General features: G+C 33.8%; 1 protein-coding gene across 3 annotated transcripts in view; it reads right to left on the reverse strand.

Annotated features, from left to right (window-relative positions):
* UBA6 (ubiquitin like modifier activating enzyme 6) overlaps window positions 1-19,892 on the reverse strand; it is an 88,504-nt gene that overhangs the window by 51,444 nt on the left and 17,168 nt on the right. For all 3 annotated transcript variants that reach the window (NM_018227.6, XM_017008359.3, XM_047415893.1), the window contains exons 3-10: window positions 18,024-18,118; window positions 17,468-17,496; window positions 14,344-14,438; window positions 13,516-13,627; window positions 9,602-9,682; window positions 6,375-6,497; window positions 4,456-4,579; window positions 1,094-1,197 (exon numbers count right to left, since the gene is read on the reverse strand). In NM_018227.6, coding sequence (NP_060697.4) covers window positions 1,094-1,197; window positions 4,456-4,579; window positions 6,375-6,497; window positions 9,602-9,682; window positions 13,516-13,627; window positions 14,344-14,438; window positions 17,468-17,496; window positions 18,024-18,118 — 763 coding nt within the window. The remainder of the gene's footprint in view (window positions 1-1,093; window positions 1,198-4,455; window positions 4,580-6,374; window positions 6,498-9,601; window positions 9,683-13,515; window positions 13,628-14,343; window positions 14,439-17,467; window positions 17,497-18,023; window positions 18,119-19,892) is intronic.

Consider the following 19,892-nt stretch of genomic DNA (forward strand, 5'->3'; position numbering starts at 1 on the left):
ATAAACTAGCTACCATTATTATGACCATACTTAAAAAAAAAAGTTAAATGCAATAAAACAACCTGCTCTACATAATAAATTTGGGAACAATTAGTAAAAACATTTGCATACTTTAAAAAATTTATTATTTTAATCTAAAAGCTACCATATTTTTATAATACCAGGTTGTCAAGACTTATTAAATTCTGTGTGAAGAACTCAAAGGTAAAACAAATGAAACCCCCCCTAAAAAAAACCCAAAACACCCACCCAATCTAAAATTGAGACATATCCAATTAAAAATTGGAGACAAAACATAAGGAGATATGCAGGAGCACATCTGACTAGATATAGTATTTTAATTTTTTTTTTTAATTCTAACTTTGGGTTGAACAAAGCCTTGTAAACGACTGGAGTTGTTAATAGTTCTGGAAAAGAAAAGACAATTATGTTAAAACCTTGAGAACTTGTAAGAAAAAACAGAGATGTGCTAGCTTATCCTGAGAAGGAGCCCAAGGATTTTAGTAGCACAAGATCCCTTAGTTCCCTGACACCACATTCTCTATATTCAGCTATTTACATTTTGCTTTCAATGCCAGTCGTTTTTAGAAATTATTTTACATTTCCAACATATATACTGTTTTTTGAAATTTATAAAATTAAATTAAAATTTAAAAACCAGGATTAACAAGTATAATTTGAATATCTTCATTTTAGAAAATTAAATAATAATAAAGCAAAACAACTCTTGCTAAATCTTGAAAATACATTAGTTTTATTTCTTGTCTTAGAAAGTAAATTGTAATAAGTATGATAAACTCTTTGATAATTCACAAAGATACAGTTCCTTTCGGGTATACCCATTTAGCTCAACTATATGTATATGGTATTCTGGCTATAAAAGATGTGTAAGTTTTTTGTTAATATCCATTTTATTCATTTATTTCATTAGATTAATTCCATTTCCCTCAAAGTGGGTACAAACAAAAAAATAAAAATAAAAACAAATTCTGTTCCACATTTAATCTGTTTGGTTAACTGAGTAGTTATTTGTCTCTTCTGCCTTTCTTTTTCTGTAAAAAAATGTTTTTTAAGCCGAAAAAAAAATACTTACAAAAAAAACTGTTTTAGGAGTCTTAACTTGGACAGCTATGCCTCCATGTAAATATGGTTCCAGTTCTGTGGTGTCACCAATACTAAAAGAAAATGGCGATATCACTAGAAGACAAAAAATTTAAAAAATCATTACACAGGGATATAGATATTTAAATTTCAACTCTTATTGTCATAAGAGGTTAATTATCCCTAATTTACAAAATTAAAGAATTCCAGCATAGTGTTTTTTTTTGTTTGTTTGTTTTTTTTTTTTTTTAATGAAGAGCTGGGAGGAGTGTGGGGAACTAGGCAGAGTATTTTTTCCAATGTGAAACTCCAGGACTTAAAAATAACCAAGGAAACTTACAGAAAAAGAGTAATGAGGGCTACTCATTATTAGATATTAAAATATATCATAAAGCCTCAATAATATAATAATAACTACCTATCATAATAATATAATATGGTACTGGTTAATAAACAGACAACTGGAAAAGATTAGAGAATTCAGAAACAGTCTCAAGTACACAAAGGACAAAATCAAGGTGGCACCTCAATCAGTAATGAAAAGATAAGATTATTCAATAAATCTTATAGAGAAAAAAGACAACTGGGAGAATACCTATTGCAAATGGATAAAAGTTTTAGGTTTCAAAAAAGATGCTCATAATTTCTCAGATAAAAGCATGGGAGAAAAATTCCTTTAAAACCATGTAGTAAGGAAGGCTTTTCTAAGTAACACTAAATAACAACCATAAAAGAAAATATTTAAAATTTGACTATAAAAACATAAAAAAGAAAACCTCATGACAAAAACCCATCATAAGCAACATCAAAAGATAAATGGCAAACCAGGAAAATATTATGCTCTGTCTGGGCATGGTGGCATGTGCCTGTAGTCCCATCTATTCAGGAGGCCAAGGCAGCAGGATCACTTGAACCCAGGAGGCTATAGTGTGCTAAACTGCACCTGTGAATAGCCACTGTACTCCAGCCTGGATAACACAGTGAGACCCTCATTTCTTAAAAAGAAAAAACATGGTCCGATAACATTTTCATCTATATTATGACATATTAGGTAGCTATAAAAGAAAATGTTTCTCATTTCTAAACCATTTGCTTATTCAAAAAATTAAGTTAAAAAACCAAGTAAGCCCCCCCTTTACTTAATATATTATATAATACAGGCATATATACTATATAATATGTAATATATACTATATATGTGTATATATAGTAAACATATAAAGTAGACAGAATGGTCAGCAGAGTGAACACCAAACTCAGCTGCTGTTACCTCTGGAGAGGAAAGGAAGTCTGAAGTAGGATTCATTTTTAACCCTATTTAAACATATACACACATATATATATCTAGAATAAGTATGTATTATTTTAGCTATTTAACAATGTTTTTTGGCTGGTCATGAGGTTTTTTTATCTTCATACCTGTAATGCCAACACTTTGGGCAGCCAAGGCGAGAGGATCACCTAAGCCCTGGAGTTCGAGACCAGCTTGGGCAAAATAGAGAGATCTTGTCTCTACAAAAATAAAAAAGTTAGCCAGGTGTGGTGGCACACACCCGTGGTCCCAGTTACTTGGGAGGCTGAGGTGGGAGGATCACTTGGGCCCAGGAGGCTGAGGCTGCAGTGAGCCATGATCATGTCGCTGCACTTCAGCCTGGGCAACAGAGCAAGATGCTATCTCAAAAAAAGAAGCAAAAAACAAACGAAAAAACAAAAAAACAAAACAACATTTTTTCATGCTAGCAGAATATTACTTTAGATCAGTAAGTAGCAATTTATAAATGTTAAGGAAAAAAAAGCTTCATAACAGCCACTCTATTTAAACTTATTCATCTCTCCCTCCAAAGAATTTTTGGCACAAAATGTGGGTTTTCTTTCTCTTTATTTCTTTACATGCTGTGGCTCCTCTTTATACAAGCAGCCTCATAATGTGAACTATCACCACAATTCACCACAACATGGACCCCGAAATTACAAATAATAATCCTAAATGATTAATTTTAATAAAAAACAGATATATTATTTAATATCTATGATATGAACCTGTATTCAAAATAATTAGATATAGTCAGGAAACAAAATTAAACAGTTTTGTTATACAACATGCATGCTAAAATTACAAATAGTAATCCTAAATGATTAATTTTAATAAAAACATATTCTTTAGTATCTATGATCTGAACCTGTATTTAAAATAATTAGATGTAGCTGGCAAACAAAATCAAATAGTTTTGTTACCAAAAATACTTAAATATAGATTCAAAGTTATCTATAAACAGTTTGTAATAAGAATTGATTTTTCCCTCTCCTGAGGATATATTTTGCCGTCATTAAAAAAAAAGTAATTCCATTTACTGTCTATAAACTAAATACAGTTATATTTTCAAATGCCCTAAAGATAAAACTGAATCAATTTCCCCTAAATAGGTGTAAGCATGCCATATAGTTATGCGTTGTCCAGTACTTTGACTCTTTTAAACATGGCTGAAGGAAAAACACAAACTACACAGATTAACGCTGCTATAAATTCATTATATTAAACTTCAAATGGGCCCTATATGATGCCTGACATCTTTCCATTTTTAAGAATGTCTACTTTCCTCCTGGTTTCGGCACCTTTCATTTCCTTTTGGCAATGACTTCGCATTAGTCCAGTAAAAAAACAGACCCCTTCAACTTCTTGCGAACAAACCTACAAACTTGCCTGCAGACACGACATTCATCCCTTTTATTCAAGCCACTGAAAAAGAACATATATCCCAACCAACATCTAGACATCTTCCTTTAAATACTTCATTGCCACCTCATTTTACAAAGCTAAACTATACTCTTTATCTTATCTCCAAAACCTACTCCCTTTCTTGCATTCCTTAAGTGAATATGTTGACTGACCATGTAGAAATCTTCACTCACCTATAGTATGTGATCAAGTTTCCTCCTAAATATCTTAAGACTTGTGAGCTTAATTCTCCCTGCCAGCCCTGCTGTATTAAATTTCTTGTAGTTCCTTTAGTTCTGTCTTGCATCTGCGCCTTTTCTGTTTGTCTCTGCATAAATGATCTTTTTTCAATACCTTCCTAAGCCAATGCAACCTTCACATTTTAATCAAGACACCCTGTCCCACTGCTGCTGTCCCAAAACTGGGTAGGTTTCCCTGCTAAGTTCAGTGTCCCCAGAATGAGTATACTCTCTTAATATCATCAGTGTTTAACAATGTCTTCACTTGGATCGAATATTTTGAGGCCAAGGGCTTTGGATCATGTCTCTCTGAGTTGACATTCTGTTCCCAACACTTAGTGTCTGAACTATAAATTTGCTGAATAAGTATAAATGAATTAATAAAACACATTGACTTACCCGTTATTTGTTGTATAGATCCATTTAAACCTGTCATTCCATTAATTTCTCGAAATGTTAGGAATTGTCCTGTCTCCAGTTTGTGAGGATGATTTTCAAGGCAAGTAACAATGCCAGGATTTGCCTAAAAATAAGAGTAATCTATTAAAAAAGAACTTCTTTTTTGTATTCTTTGTGTACAAATTCAAATCTTAAGCAAAAATGACAAAGTTACCATAAAATTCTCAAAACCGAAATTCTAAGCTATTCTTCTGTTAGTAAAAGCAAGCCTTTAAAAAGCTATCACAAAATAATGATCAAATTATTACTATTTTTTAAATGAATGCTGAAAATATAATTTCTATGTTTGGTAGGAGATGTTCAAAAATTCCACAGAAAGGATCAAATATTTAATAGATTCAAAAATTCATGTAACTTGTAAAAAACATTCCAAGTTACCTAATAGTTTTAAATGTGAGAAAAAACCATGGGCATAAATGATAAAAGCCTAACACTGAAGATCAAAGAACAGTAAAGAAGGAGGATAGAAATTTTAAAGATGGGAATCTGGTAGCTTACAGCTTGCTCAACACTTTAAAGAAATATTGTGTAGCTTATCAGCTATATTTCCTATAGTATTCAATAAAAGATAACACCAATGCAATAAGAATCCATACCATATTTTGGAATTTATTCTCTGTGTTTTTCTCAGGGACAAACTAAAATCAACTAGAGAAGGTAAAAGGTTAAGTCTTAATATGCCTGAAAGAATAACTCAGGTAGATAATAATCACTCTTTGAGCAGAAAGATATACAGATTGACTTTTTGATAAATTTTTCCTAAAAGGCATGACAGAGACAGTACTGGGTCTCCATCACCATGAGATTAAACTGGGTTTAAAAATAAAGTGTAAAGACAGAAGTACAAATTACAAATACTATTATGTTAAAGTATATTATCATTCCCTTATTTTGTCTTCTTTTGGACTTCAATGTAAGTTGATTACAAAGAGTACAAATAAAGTAAATTATTTAGGTAAAATAATATTAAAAGGGGATCATAATGATTTCTCCAGTTCTTTTATGCAAAAAAAAATTGAGCTTATGCATGATCAAGAGTGCGGTTAGAAAATTTAGACTTTTGAATCTGAAGGTTAATCAAAACTTTCTACACCTTCTAAATAATGCTTTAGAAATATAACAAATTAGAAATGCTTTTCTCTAATATGATTTAAGTGTGCCTTTTTAGAGTATTAGGCTAGGTGACTTACAACATACTTAGTGCATCCACTATCTAACACAATAAACAATTCAGTAAACACTGAATCACAATTCATGACCCACAGGAGATAACATAGAATAAAATTAAAATTAAAATTTATGACAAGCAAATGTTGCTCTATCAAGTATTATTATTATTTTTCTTTCTTTATTTTTGAGATGTGGTCTCACTGGGTCACCCAGGCTGGAGTGCAGTAGCGTGATCTTGGCTTACTGCAACTTCCGCCTCCCGGGTTCAAGTCATCCTTCCATCTCAGCCTCCTTAGTAGCTGGGACCACACACCACCAGGCCCGGTTAATTTTTTGTATTTTTGGTAGACATGGGGTTTCACCATGTTGCCCAGGTTGGTCTCAAACTCCTGAGCTAAAGTGATCCACCCCTGTCAGCCTCCAAAAGTGCTGGGATTGTAGGCGTGAGCCACCATGCCTGGCCCTATCAAGTATTATTTGTTAGAGAAAATCCAGAATATTTTTAACAATAATGTTCCAGTTTTAATACAATGCAGTCAAGAAATTAGCTACATATTCCCTCATTATCTTAAAACACTGTAAAATAAATTTTGCACACTGCAATACTTTGCTGATACCACCTTTCTGAAAACAGCATTCACATCAACTTTAACAAAATTTATTTTAAAAGTTCATTAATATAATCATACTTGCGTTATGTTTGAAATGAAAATTTCTTTTGGTTCTTCTCCTGTTGTATCTAAAACTTCAAATTCATCACCGAAATCACAAAATAACCTTGACCAAATTCCATGTACATCTGCACTGATAAACTGTAAAATGGCAAAAACAAGTTCAATCTTATTTATATAAAGAAAAAAACACTCTAGTATCTTAGGCCATTTCATAACAATTTAATTTATAATTAAGTATACCTTACACAACCTATAGAATACAAAGTAAATCATAAACAGGATAAACTGATGCAGAATAGTTTAGGAATCAAAGATTTTCAGTACTTTTAGTAAATGGATGTCCAGTATAACAAAATTAGAATATCAGCATATCATCTTTATAAATTTTTAAATAACAAAAATTCTGTGACTTTAAAATTTTGTGCTTGTCACAAAATTCAAGCACAACATAAAAGAAATAGATAACTCTGGCTTAATAGTCCAGCAGTGAATTCTTACTTGTTATTTTAGGAAAGAGGAATGAAGTGCTCATTTACCAAAAGCAGCAGAGTTAATGGAAAATAGAATAGAGCTAAAAGCTGAGAGCAGAGTCTACAGAAAAAAAAGGCTGAAAAACTGACATCACAAATCAAAGCCATGAAAGGTAAAACATTAAGTTCTTAAACAAATCATAAATGTTTTATTAAAAGCAATTTTTCTAACACATGCATTGTCTCCATTCTGAGAATTTGTAAAGAAATTATTTTTGGGCTTAAAGCTATTTTTAGAGCTACTGCTAATAAAGAGAAATCCTCATTCTGTAATGCACCCAATCTTGCATAAAATAATGTTTTTCTAACATAATTAAGTATATTGATATTACGGTATAAGAACATATTAAAATAATTTATAATCCCAATTACATGAAGTAGTGATATGGATAACAGAAGACCACCTCCCACTTGATCATATATTGACTTTACTGATCAAAATGGATACATATAGCTTTTTTTTTTTTACAAGACATAAAACTGGGCAGAAACTTAGAAGCTTTTTTTTTAAAGTTTAACTCTAAAGAGCATATAAATTACGTAAACAAAGGTTTTAATTTATAACCTTGTGTAGTTATTTTGTAATACTGCTGTGCCCTATTGTAAGTTCAGTGGCTATTCTGTCTTAATCACATGCTTAAATTGTAAACCACAACACGAATGCTCTAGAGCATAAATATGCTATATAAATACAACAATCCAAAAATTTTCAACACACCTACATCATAAATTATGATTTTGCCTTGGTGCCTAACTCAAAGAAACAAGTAGCTTTTTCCTTTTTCCAGTGGAACAACCCCAAAAACAAACGAGATGAGGTTAGTAATGAATTCAATTACAAGCGAAGAACTGTGATTTTTCCCATCTAAACCTCTTCCCAATGTCACTGTGCACCTAATTATGCTGGAGGTTTAAAAATCTATGAGTAATTCTTGATCACTCACTCTTTCCTTTACAACTCACACTCATCTATCTACAAGTTCTGTTAGGCCCCCACCCCACCCCACCTTTTTTTTAAACAAAAGATACCTCAAATTCAATGACTTCTGACTATCTCTCTTCCCAACTCTTTTGTCTAAGATACCAGCATCTCTCAGCTGAACTACTGCAGTAACTGCTAACTAGTCTAGCTGCCTCTACTCTACTCTTATAATCCAACAGTTCTATTTCTTTTGGTTATCTTTCATGACTTCTTCATACTCTTTTGAATTATTGAGGACCCAAAGAGCTTTTATGTAAGTTACACCTATCAATATTTACTGTGTTAGAAATTAAAACTGAGAGAAATTTAAATCACAAGAATATACATATTCCATTGTCAGAGCAAGGATATCACCACACATCATATAGACTCTGGAAAACTCCACTCTGCCGCCTAAGATAATCAGAATGAAAAAGGCAAATAACATCTTAGTAATATGAAAATAAAAAGTTCGAGTGTGCAGAACCACTGAAAGGGTCTGAGGGATTCTTAGTGTCCCTGGACCACACTTTGAAAACTACAATTATAGTCTTCTCTCCATACAGCAAGCCATAGTGATCCTTTAAAAATATAAAACAGATTAAAACTCACAGGCCTAAAAACTCAAATGTCTTCGAAGATCTTGTAACGTATGGCCCCCAACCTACTTCTCCCAAACTAATCTTCTGGTATATTTTATTCCTACTATCCTCTCCTCTTTACCACTCTATTTTGGTCCTGTTTGCCTCTTATTGTTCCTCAAAACCGCCAACCTAATTTTTACACTTGCAAATGTTTACATTTGCTGATTCCCCTGCTTTGAATGCCTTCCCCCAGATCTTTATATAGCCTGTTCTTTCTCATTACTCGGAGCCCTACTCAAACATCATCTCCTTAGTGAAGACTTCTCTAACCTTCTAATCTAAGAGAACCAGAACTGTCCTTCTCCCTACATCATGCAGATATCATTCTCTATTTTTCTTTACTCAGATTTTTCTTCTTCATAGGACTTGAAACTATTTAAAAACGCATGATGTATTTATTTTCTTGTTTACTGTACATCTTCCCTAGCAGAAGGTAATTTTCATGAGTAAAAAAATTTGTCTCTATTCACTAATGTATTTCTAGTGGCTATAACTGTCTCCAATACATAGATAGTCAATGAATATTCATTGAATGAACCACTGAACCTCTAGAAAATCACCATCATAACGACATTTAAAATTAGAGGCTGGGCGCAGTGGCTCACCTGAGGTCAGGAGTTCAAGACCAGCCTGGCCAACATGGTAAAACCCCGTCTCTACTAAAAATACAAAAAATTAGCTGGGCTTGGTGGCGGGTGCCTGTAAGATCCCAGCTACTCAGGGGACTGAGACAGGAGAATAGCTTGAACCCGGGAGGCGGAGGTTGGGGTGAGCCAAGATTGTGTCACTGCACTCCAGCCTGGGCGATAGAATGAGACTCTGTCTCGGGAAAAAAAAAAAAAAAAAAAAATTAGATGATGATTTCAATGTTTATCATCCTTTCCATTCCTAACATTAATTCTTCCTTAGTTTTGGCAATCTGTCTATAAACCAAACTTAGATCCTAGTTTTAAAAACAGGAAATGAATATATCAAAATTAATGAAAAAAATGATTGTGATTAATATGTAAAAAGTTTCTTATATAACCCATCAATGAGTTAAAAATTCTACTAGTGAAAGTGTTCTTCCTTGGTTAACTACATGTCATTACTAAATGATACAATTACCTTAATTGGAGGGCACTGAGAACGGCAAAAGTCATTGATCTTCTTCTGCAATGGAAGTTTCATCTCAGTCAATACTACACACTGTTGAGAAAACAACAAATTAAAAACTAGAAAATACATAATTATTTTTTGTAGTATACAATAATCAGAAGCATGTCAGTTTGCGTTGTGCTAAAGACACATCGCTAATCTCATTGAAAAGTTATAATCCTACGGAATTCCATTCCAAGGTTAATACCTTCACAAAGTATAGGTAACAGAAGTAAAAATAACATATACAGGGGAAAACCTGCACACATAAAACTTGATAACCATCACACGCTTTATGATTAGAAGCAAACCTTAATATCCTATGCAGTATTTATGGACTCTAAGTGATTAGATTTGTTTCATCTATTACTATCACACAAATATTAACCTAGCTACCAGAGTATTACTTTCATGCTAGCTTAAAAACCTGACAACATTTTTAAGAGACACATTAGTTGGCTACTAGAACATGTCCATCTGTGGATTTAGTTTTTTTAAATCTAGCTTGCAATATGGTTTGCTTCCTGTAGGGAGACATTCCTCCATGGGCCTCTCAGTCTATACAGTCTCACAAGGTATGCCATGAATGCAAGGCCCTTACCGCTCTTTACTTGAGGTCATTTCTCAGAATTGTATTTGCTGTGTAAAAACTTGAGGGATGAGGTAAGGTCTTCCTCAGGGACAAAGAGACGTCTTAGCTTGCTTTAAAACAGCCAGTTCCCCAAGCTCAGTGTTCTTCTCTAAAGCAACCTACTGCATGTGCATTCACTGAGCCCTCTGCCTTGAACTAGAGGGACTTGGGGGACGGGGGCGAGGAAGAAAATGCAATATATGCTCATATTTTTTATTATGCACTGAGTAATAAACTTCTTAGTCTCTGACCCAGGAATCTCATATTTCCTGCATCTGTGAAACAGTAACAGGATAGTTTGCAAATAATAAAAAAATCAAAGACTCGACCCATCACATATTGAATCTGATTTGTGTTTGATCAATGTTAGAAAATTCTCAGCCACAATTTCTTTGAATATTGCTCTTTTCTATTGCTTTCTATCTAGAAATCCAATTTCATAAATTGGACCTTTTCATTCAAGCTCTCATTTATTTTAACTTGTCCATAATATTTTCTCTTATTTCTGTTTTGGGTTTTTTTTTTGAGACACAGTCTCACTCTGTTGCCCAGGCTGGCGTGCAGTGGTGCGATCTGGGCTCACTGCAAAACAACCTCTGCCTCCCAGGTTCAAGCGATTCTCCTGCCTCAGCCTCCCCAGTAGCTGGGATTACAGGCACATGCCACCATGCCCAGCTAATTTTTGTATTTTTAGTAGAGACGGGGTTTCGCCATGCTGGCCAGGCTGGTCTCGAACTCCTGACCTCAGGTTTTCTGCCTGCCTTGACTTCCAAAGTGCTGGGATATTTTCTTTATTTCTATGTGCTATAGCTTTGGTAATTTCCTCAGGTCTATCTTTCAATTCACTAATGTTTATTCCAGCTATATCTATTCACTGTTTAATCTATCCACTGAATTTTAATTTTTAAGACTTCATGTTCATTTCCATAAGTTGTACCTGGTTCTTTATCACATCTGCCTGGTCTTTTTCAATAGTGTCTTATTTGTATATTATATATTTAATCCCTTCTTTTACGATTTACTAGTTTTGAACATCTGTATTTTATAATCTTTCTCAAATAATTCTATTCTCCTAAATTCTTGGAGGTTTAGGCTGGGCACGGTGGCTCACACCTATAATCCCAGCACTTTGGGAGGCCAATGCGGGAGGATCACCTGAGGTCAGAAGTTCGAGACCAGCCTGGCCAACATGGTGAAGCCCCATCTCTACTAAAAATATAAAAATTAGCAGGGCGTGGTGGCACGTGCCTGTGATCCCAGCTACTTGGGAGGCTGAAGTAGGAGAATCACTTGAACCCAGGAGGCAGAGGTTGCAGTGAGCCCAGACTATGCCACTGCACTCCAGCCTGGGAGACAGAGCAAGACTCCATCAGAAAGGAAAGAGAAAGAGGAAAGAGGAAAGAAGAAAGGAAAGGAAAAGAAAGGAAAAGAAGAGAAAGAAAGAAAAATAAATAAAAATTCTTTGAGGTTTAATAGTTTGTTGACTCTTGGTCATATTGAGCTGCTTTTTCCCATCTTGTTATTTTGTACTGTGAACTCAAAGGGACTTTATATACTGGAATACCCTGTAACTTAGTTGAGGGTATATTTCTCTAGATTTGTTTAATTTTGTTTTTGTCTGGCACTTTAGGGTATGGCCATTATGGCCATTATAGTACTACCTTTTTTTTTTTTTTTTTTTTTGAGATGGAGTTTTGTTCTTGTTGCCCAGGCTGGAGTGCAGTGGCTCAATTTTGGCTCACTGCAACTTCCGCCTCCCGGGTTCAAGCGATTCTCCTGCCTCAGCCTCCCGAGTAGCTGGGATTACAGGCATGCACCACCACGCCCGGCTAATTTTTGTATTATTAGTAGAGACAGGGTTTCTCCATGTTGGTCAGGCTGGTCTCGAACTCCTGACCTTAGGTGATCCGCCCACCTCGGCCTCCCAAAGTGCTGGGATTATAGGCGTGAGCCACCGCGCCCAGCCTATAGTACTACTTTTTACATTAAGTTCTCAGTTTAGGAATTTCCAGATCACAAAAGATAATAAAGTTTAATCTCTAAACCTATGTGACAGCACGCCTAATGGTTATGAATTCCCCAGGAAAACCTTTACTTTTCATCCAGAGCTTAAGAGAAAACAAAACAGACAAGATTGGTAAAGATTGTTCTTGTCCACCCTTTCACTGAGGGCATAGCTCTCTGAGGCTCCAGCTTTATGAAGAAGGGGAGGTCTCAATTCAATTTCTCTAGTTTATGTAGTTCTAGGTCTGAATCTTCTGTTTCTATGTGAACATCAATTCCCAAGAACTTTGGTTACTGTGACAGGCAACTCCTGTCGCTAAGAGTACCTACAGATAACAGTTCACTAGTCTTTTAGCTAACTGTTCATTTGTGGCCTCTGAGCATTTTCCTTACATTATTTTGAGCTCGGATAGTCATTTAAAAGAAAGTCTGTTTAGAAATTCTAGGTGCTTTGTAGCAGGATGAATTTTAAGTTATCTACTCCAGAACAGAAGTCTATACCCATTTTTAAATGGATCACAGCATAATTTACTCACAGAAAAAAAAAAAAAAATCAGGGTCAACCTAGTCACTTTTACAATATCCAAGGTCCTGGGAATTTTGTTGTTGTTATTTAAGGAATTGTTACCTATAATAGATTGAACTACTGATCCATGTATTTTTACTCCCCTGTAATTGTACTGCTTGCCCATGGCTTTAGGAAGAGTACTTTTCTGCTTCTTGACTTTAGGCTTGATAACATTGACTTGCTTTGGCCGACAGGATGTTAATGGACACAACAAAAACAGAAGCTTGAAATGTGCATGTGTGGCTGGACTTGACCTTCTGTTTCTCCTACTACCATGAGAACATGACCTAGGTAGCCTCCTGGTCCCAGAAGAGAGACACATGGGGGAGAACCCAAACTCTGGAGTTTAATCCAGGCTGAGTTCAGCCTAGAAACCCCAACTGACATATTCAGGTACACAGGAAAGAAATAAATGCATGTTGCTATAAACCAGAGTTTTGAGTAGTTTTTAATGGATATTACTGAGAAAAAAGCCAACTGATATAACTACTTTGTCAGTAGTTCTTAGGTCCCTTCCTTAAAATGGAGAATTTGAAAGGTTTTATTCTAATATGTCTTCTACCTTGAAATTTTTTTGTTCTGTTTCTCAATACACTAGGTTAAATTAGTTAAACATATTAATATTTAACAATTTTGCCCTGGAACCTGTCAATAACATTTAATACAAAATGGAGTACTAACCTGGTATTTATCTAAAAAGGAGAGATCTGTGGTCTCATTGAAAGGAACAGAAGATGATGTGACATGAACGTATGGATTTAGTTCTGCAATATGTTTAAGTACAGCTTCAGCCCTAAAAAAATAAAATAAATTTTTACTGTTCTTTAATTCAATATACTCAAATCTCTTCAAGTTGGACACTGTAATGACATCAGAGGAACCTGACATGTTACAAAATTTCAATGGAAACTTACCTTGTAGAAGAAAGAAACCAAAACTTACTTGTCTTTACAGGTAACCATACAATCTTGAAATGATATACTATCATATTCTACAATAAACCACACAATCTCAAAGTGTACCCTAATAGTTCCAAGCTCCAGGCTCCTTAACTTTCTTAATAATTTAGCAACACTAAAGTCCTTCTTTAATAAATTCAAGGAAATACATTTCTAGGTAGCAGTGTAATATATATATATCTTTTATATATATAATATATATAAAAGATATATTATATGTAATATATATTATATAATACATATTATGTAAATATATAAAAAATTTGACAAATACAAATAATTAAGTATATATCAATATTTATTTAGCCACAGTAGTAGGAATTTATGGTGATCAATTAAATAACTATGACTGATTGGTGTTCTAGATAAAGGAAATATTCTAAGTAAATGAGTTAAAAAAAAACTCATAATACATAAAAATATCTTTACCTGTATAAAGTAGAGCACTTTATATTTAAACAACTATGACTGATTGGTGTTCTAGATAAAGGAAATATTTTAAGTAAATAAATTTAAAAAAACTCATGATAATACATCAAAATATCTTTACCTGTTTCTCTTATTAACAACATCATCTTCACTGAGAAAGAAGTTGGTTCCTAGATCCCATGCTTGGCATTTTTCTGTATCATGAATTGTAACTGCCTTCAAAAAAGAAAAAAGTATTGGTTGAAGTCAGGAGTTCAAGGATATGCACTCTCTCCAGTATTACTGACAATGTACTAGAACTATTATTTTGTGTAATTAGACAATGAAAAGTAAACAAAGGCATAAGAATTAAAATATGTAAAGATGTTCAACCTTGCCCAGAAATGAAATAACTTTTCTCACTTGTTAGATTGGCATAAATCCACAGTTTGACAACATAGTCTATTGGTGATGGTGAGGTGAATGAGCGACTCTCATTATTACTGATTAACAAGGTAAACTGGCTCAACCTCAACGGAAAGGAATTTGGCAATCTCTAGCAAAAAGACATATGCATTTATCCTGTGATGCAGCAATCCCACTTTTAGGACTCCATCTCAAAGACACACTGGGAGAAATACAAAAAGCTATATATACAAGAGTATTAAATATAGCACACTATTTGTAAGAGCAAAAGACTGGAAATAATCAAAATGCCCACCAATGGGGAACTGGCTTTAAGATGATACATCCGTACAATGTATAATCATGCAACTATTAAAAAAAGAATGAAAGATGTATTTATAAATATGGAGTAATCTCCAGGATATGCTATAAAGAGATAGCAAGGTAAAGAAAAGTAGAGCACTTTATATGAGAAAGGTGGGAGGAGATAAACATATATACCCACACATAAACAGATACACATGTATGTGTGTATGCATTTACCTATCTACAAAAACAAATGAAGAATAAACCAAATATAAAAAGACAGTAACCTAATAAGTGAAGGAGGAAACAAGGTAACAAGAAGCTAGACTTACCTGAAAATACTTTGTTTAAAAAATCTGACTTTGAATCATAAATCTCACATAATAGTAAAACTAAATTTTTTAAAAAGCAATCTCTAAAAATCCAAAGCAAAACAAATACATGGACTAAACTGTTTATGGAGTCTGCTACACACAGAGATTTATTTAAAGTGACTTTTAAAAGCAGTTAATTTGCCTGCCAAATCCAGGTAGGATCAAAAAACTCTAAATTTTTTTCAATAATACATTATTATTAACAATATTGGAATTGGTATTCTGAAACTATGCCATACAAGTAAAATATAATAGGATAAAGAATATATAGCATATATAGGATAAAGCACGTAATGGATCATTAGAAACCAAAATCCTAATAAGATACAAATATAAAATCACAGAAATAAATATCCTATAATCCAAAGTAAAAATTAGAAATTTTAGTAATACTTTATAAGCCTAAACCTGAAAATCAGAAATTTCAGTATTTACTCATTACGAACGTTCTAGCTCTGCCCACTGAAAAGACTTTGTAAACAGCGACAAAGACTACTGGGGGCTGTGTCTCAAAGCCTCAAAAAACAGGAAGAGAACCACAATAACCAAAGATGGAACAATCTGAGCATCAATGAAAATAACTATAATAGATCAAAACACATCAAATTATGTTTAAATCCATGAGTTTATCATAATGTACACATACATATAAATTCACTGGTCAATACTACGAAATGATGACAGGAAACCACTGATTTTGAAAACTGGTAAGTTAATGGGGAAAAATGTAGTATTTATCCTGCATTTTGTAAATGTACAATCCATACTTTCGTGAAACCAAGAAAGTCATGACTGGAATTTTTTTCTAAAATATAATTCCAGCTAATAAATGAGAAAAGAATGATAAAACATCATCACTGCCCCTAATGAAATAATGAATCTAGGCAATAATAATTAACAGCTAATAATAATCACAAAAAGAGAGACAACAGAATATTACTGTCTCCTGATGGGAGAACAGCTATGAAACAGTCTTGCCAAAAAGAATCAAATCTGAACTGGATTCTCTGGCTATAACTACCAGTTTACAGGAAATACACATGTAGAAATACCTGTGACAAATGACTAGTTTCTTCAACAAATAAATTGCAAGAAAAAACCTAGGCAAGGAAGGGAAATCTATAGATTAAAATAAACCAAGTTCAGTATACGAATTTTACTTGGATCCTGATTAGAATGATACAAGCTTTCAATAAAATGTCTTAAGACATTTGGGAAAATTTGAACTCTAACTAGACATTTGATGACTGTGGTAGACAGGCTTTTAAGATGGCCACAATGTTTCCTGCTTCATAGTATTTAGGCTTTCGTGTGATCTCCCACCTTGAGTGTGGCCTGGACCCACTTCTGAGATTAGGTTACAAAAGACTGACTTGTCTTGTTAACACACTCTCTTCTCCTGTCTTACTTGTTTACTCTGATGAAGCAAACTGCCACACTGTGAACTGCCCTATGGAGAAAGCCATACAAGCAAGGAATTGAGGGTGACCTTTGGTCAAGAGCCAGCAGGAACTGAGGTCCTCAGTTTAACAATACATGAAGAACTAAATCCTACCAAGAACCACATGAGCCAGCTTGGGAAGCAGATCCTTCCCCAGTCTAGCCTCAAGATGACTGCAGGCCCTGCTAATACCTTGACTGCAGCCTTGTAAGAGACTCCCAGAGAAACCCCAACCAGAGTCATGCCCGAATCCTGACTCACAGAAACTATGAGACAACAAATGTTGCTTAAGCTACAAATTTTGGGGTAAACTGTTTTATAGCAACATGTAAACTAATACAATGGTATTAAGAGCTTGTTACATTTTAGGTGTGAAAATTATATTGCTGCTTCAAAAGATATTCTTATCTTTTAAAGATACTACTAAAATATTTAAGGATGATATAATACAATGTCTGAAATTTACATCAAAATAATTTGGCAGTTGGGGGCAATAAGGAATGGGAAGAAGATATATGAAACAAATGTCCCCAAGAGTTGGTAACTGATGCTTTCTGATGGGTATGTGGGGTTTTGTTACACAATTCTTTCTTTGTATATTTTTTAAATTTCCATGATTTTTTTTAAAAAGTAGAGCATTAAAGACAATAATTAAAACAAAGTATAAACAATATTACCATAACAAATGAGCCAAAAAAAAAGGCTCATAACAATTTTTCTTACAGAGGACATTTACTTACCTTAATCCCTGCAAGAACAAGATTCTTTGCTAGAAAGGCAAAAGAAAAAGGAATAGCTCAATATTGGGAATACACACTAGATATGTCTTCACAGAGCTTAGTCACATATCTGACTGCATACTTTTAACTTCTTTTTTTACTACTTAATACAAGTTCCTTGTCTTAAAAAAGTTACAAAATACAGGTTAAAAGTGAAAAAATTAAAATGTGCATAATCACAACACCCAGAGATAATCACTCCTAAAATTTCAACGTATTCTTCCAGATATGTTTTTATGAATACAGTATATGTATGTGTGCTTATAATGAATTAATGGATATAGAGAATGATAATTAATGGCTATTAACATCACAAAAAGAAGCAATGAGTCATTATTGGTTCTTTGTGGAAGAATATAACATCACGAAATAGTCTTGACAAAGATTAAAAACTCAATCTGATCAACATTTTGGATCTAACTTCCTTTATAGGAAATATAAGGGGATGAAGTTAAGTTATTTAAACTATCTTCATTGCTCAAAAGTGTCAAAAATTAGGAATATAAATATTGCTTACCAATTTCCAAACCAAGACCACCCATCCCACTTAAGAAAACATGGGACTTGGCCATCTTCTGCATTGCTGTGTCTCCAAGAACGTACCTCTGTCGACTACACGGAAAACACAATAAAAAACAAAAAATTATTTCACTGAAATTATAATATCTCTTAAAGTTGTTTGCAAACTAAAAGCCTAGGAACTCAATCCGGCCCACAGACTTGTTATGAATGATTTGCACAGTGTTTAAACATTTCTGAATTAAATGCCAAATATATGACATATTTTGAAAAATCAGATAATTTGGCACCACAATCCATATTCCCTCAAGGCAATAGACAGATGGAGGTGAGTAAGAGTTGCCCTGTTTAGGCAGGAGGATTATGTGCTCCAGATTTGCCACAATCAATTCCTTCCTGTTCCTCTCATTTATTACCTCAGTGGCCACTATAAGCATTTGAGTTTGCCATTTCCACCTTAAAACTTTCACTATCAACAGGATTTCTGAGGCAACAACAACAAAAAAAATTTGGTTCTCTTCTTGGAGTTCAGATGTTATATAAAGGACCTTGTTAAGTTATGCATCCTAATAGCCACAAGGTAGTAACAGGATGGGAATTTCAAAAAATATACGTTAGTAATTTAAAAGTCTGATATAGTAATAAAGTCAATTGTAAGTGTTTATCTGAAAGAACAATGAGAAACTTGATGCTATCTTTGGAGATAATATAAATTCCAATGAATTCTTATGAGAAACATTTTAAAGATTAGTTCGATATAAATAAATAATTTCAGAACCCCTTGGGTTATAAGTATTTACTTTCAGAATTAACACATACATGTTTAATGCACATTTGTTTTAAAAATAAATATTTAATTTCCATTATTTCAGCTTTTCATATTCAACATAAAAGCCTGAAAAGGGATTTCTTATCTAGAGAGACAAAACTTTATAAACACAAGCTATCTTTATTTCCTTCCCTGTTTCATACAAAATATAATAAAACCTAAACTTTTCTTTTTAAATTGGTACTCAAGACTTTTGTTTTAGAAAGTAAAAACTATCCATTTACACATCAAATATTTATTGAAAATCTACTATAGTATGTACGAAAGTTCTTATATAGTCTTACCACCCTTATGCGTACCCAGAAATAATATACTTAGGTTTTACCTGATTTTAGACTTTGTATAGATGGAATCACTTTGAGTGTCTTTTATCTTGTTTCTTTTGAATGAAATTATTTATGAGATGGACTTATACTGATGTCTGCAACTGGTCATTAATATTCATTTATATTGTATTCTGACCATTCTTATAAACATCTCCTGGTACACACTTAAGAGTTGTTTCTCTGATACAAGCTTGTCCAACCCACGGTCCACAGGCTGCATGCGGCCCAGGACAGCTTTGAATGCGGCCCAATACAAATTCGTAAACTTTCTTAAAACATTATGAGATTTTTTTGCAATTTTTTTTTTTTTTTAGTTCATCAGCTATCATTACTGTTAGTGGATTCTATGTGTGGTCCAAGACAATTATTCTTCTTCCAATGTGGCCCAGGGAAGCAAAAAGATTGGACACCCCTGCTCTAATGTATATCCCCAGAGAGGAAATGCAGGATTTAAGAATATGTATACTTCAACTTCATTAGACAGTGCCAAACTGTTTTCCAAAATGGACGTACCAGGACAGTTGTGGTGGCTCACGCCTATAATCCCAGCACTTTGGGAGGCCTACATGGGTGGATTACTTGAGCTCAGGAGTTCAAGACCAGCCTGGGCAACACAGCAAAACCCCATCTCTATAAAAACTACAAAAATTAGCAGGATGAGGTGGTGGGTGCCTGCAGTTAAGTCCCAGCTACTCGGATGGCTGAGGCAGGA

The sequence above is a fragment of the Homo sapiens genome, chromosome 4 (assembly GCF_000001405.40).
Source record: "Homo sapiens chromosome 4, GRCh38.p14 Primary Assembly".
NCBI lineage: Eukaryota > Metazoa > Chordata > Mammalia > Primates > Hominidae > Homo > Homo sapiens.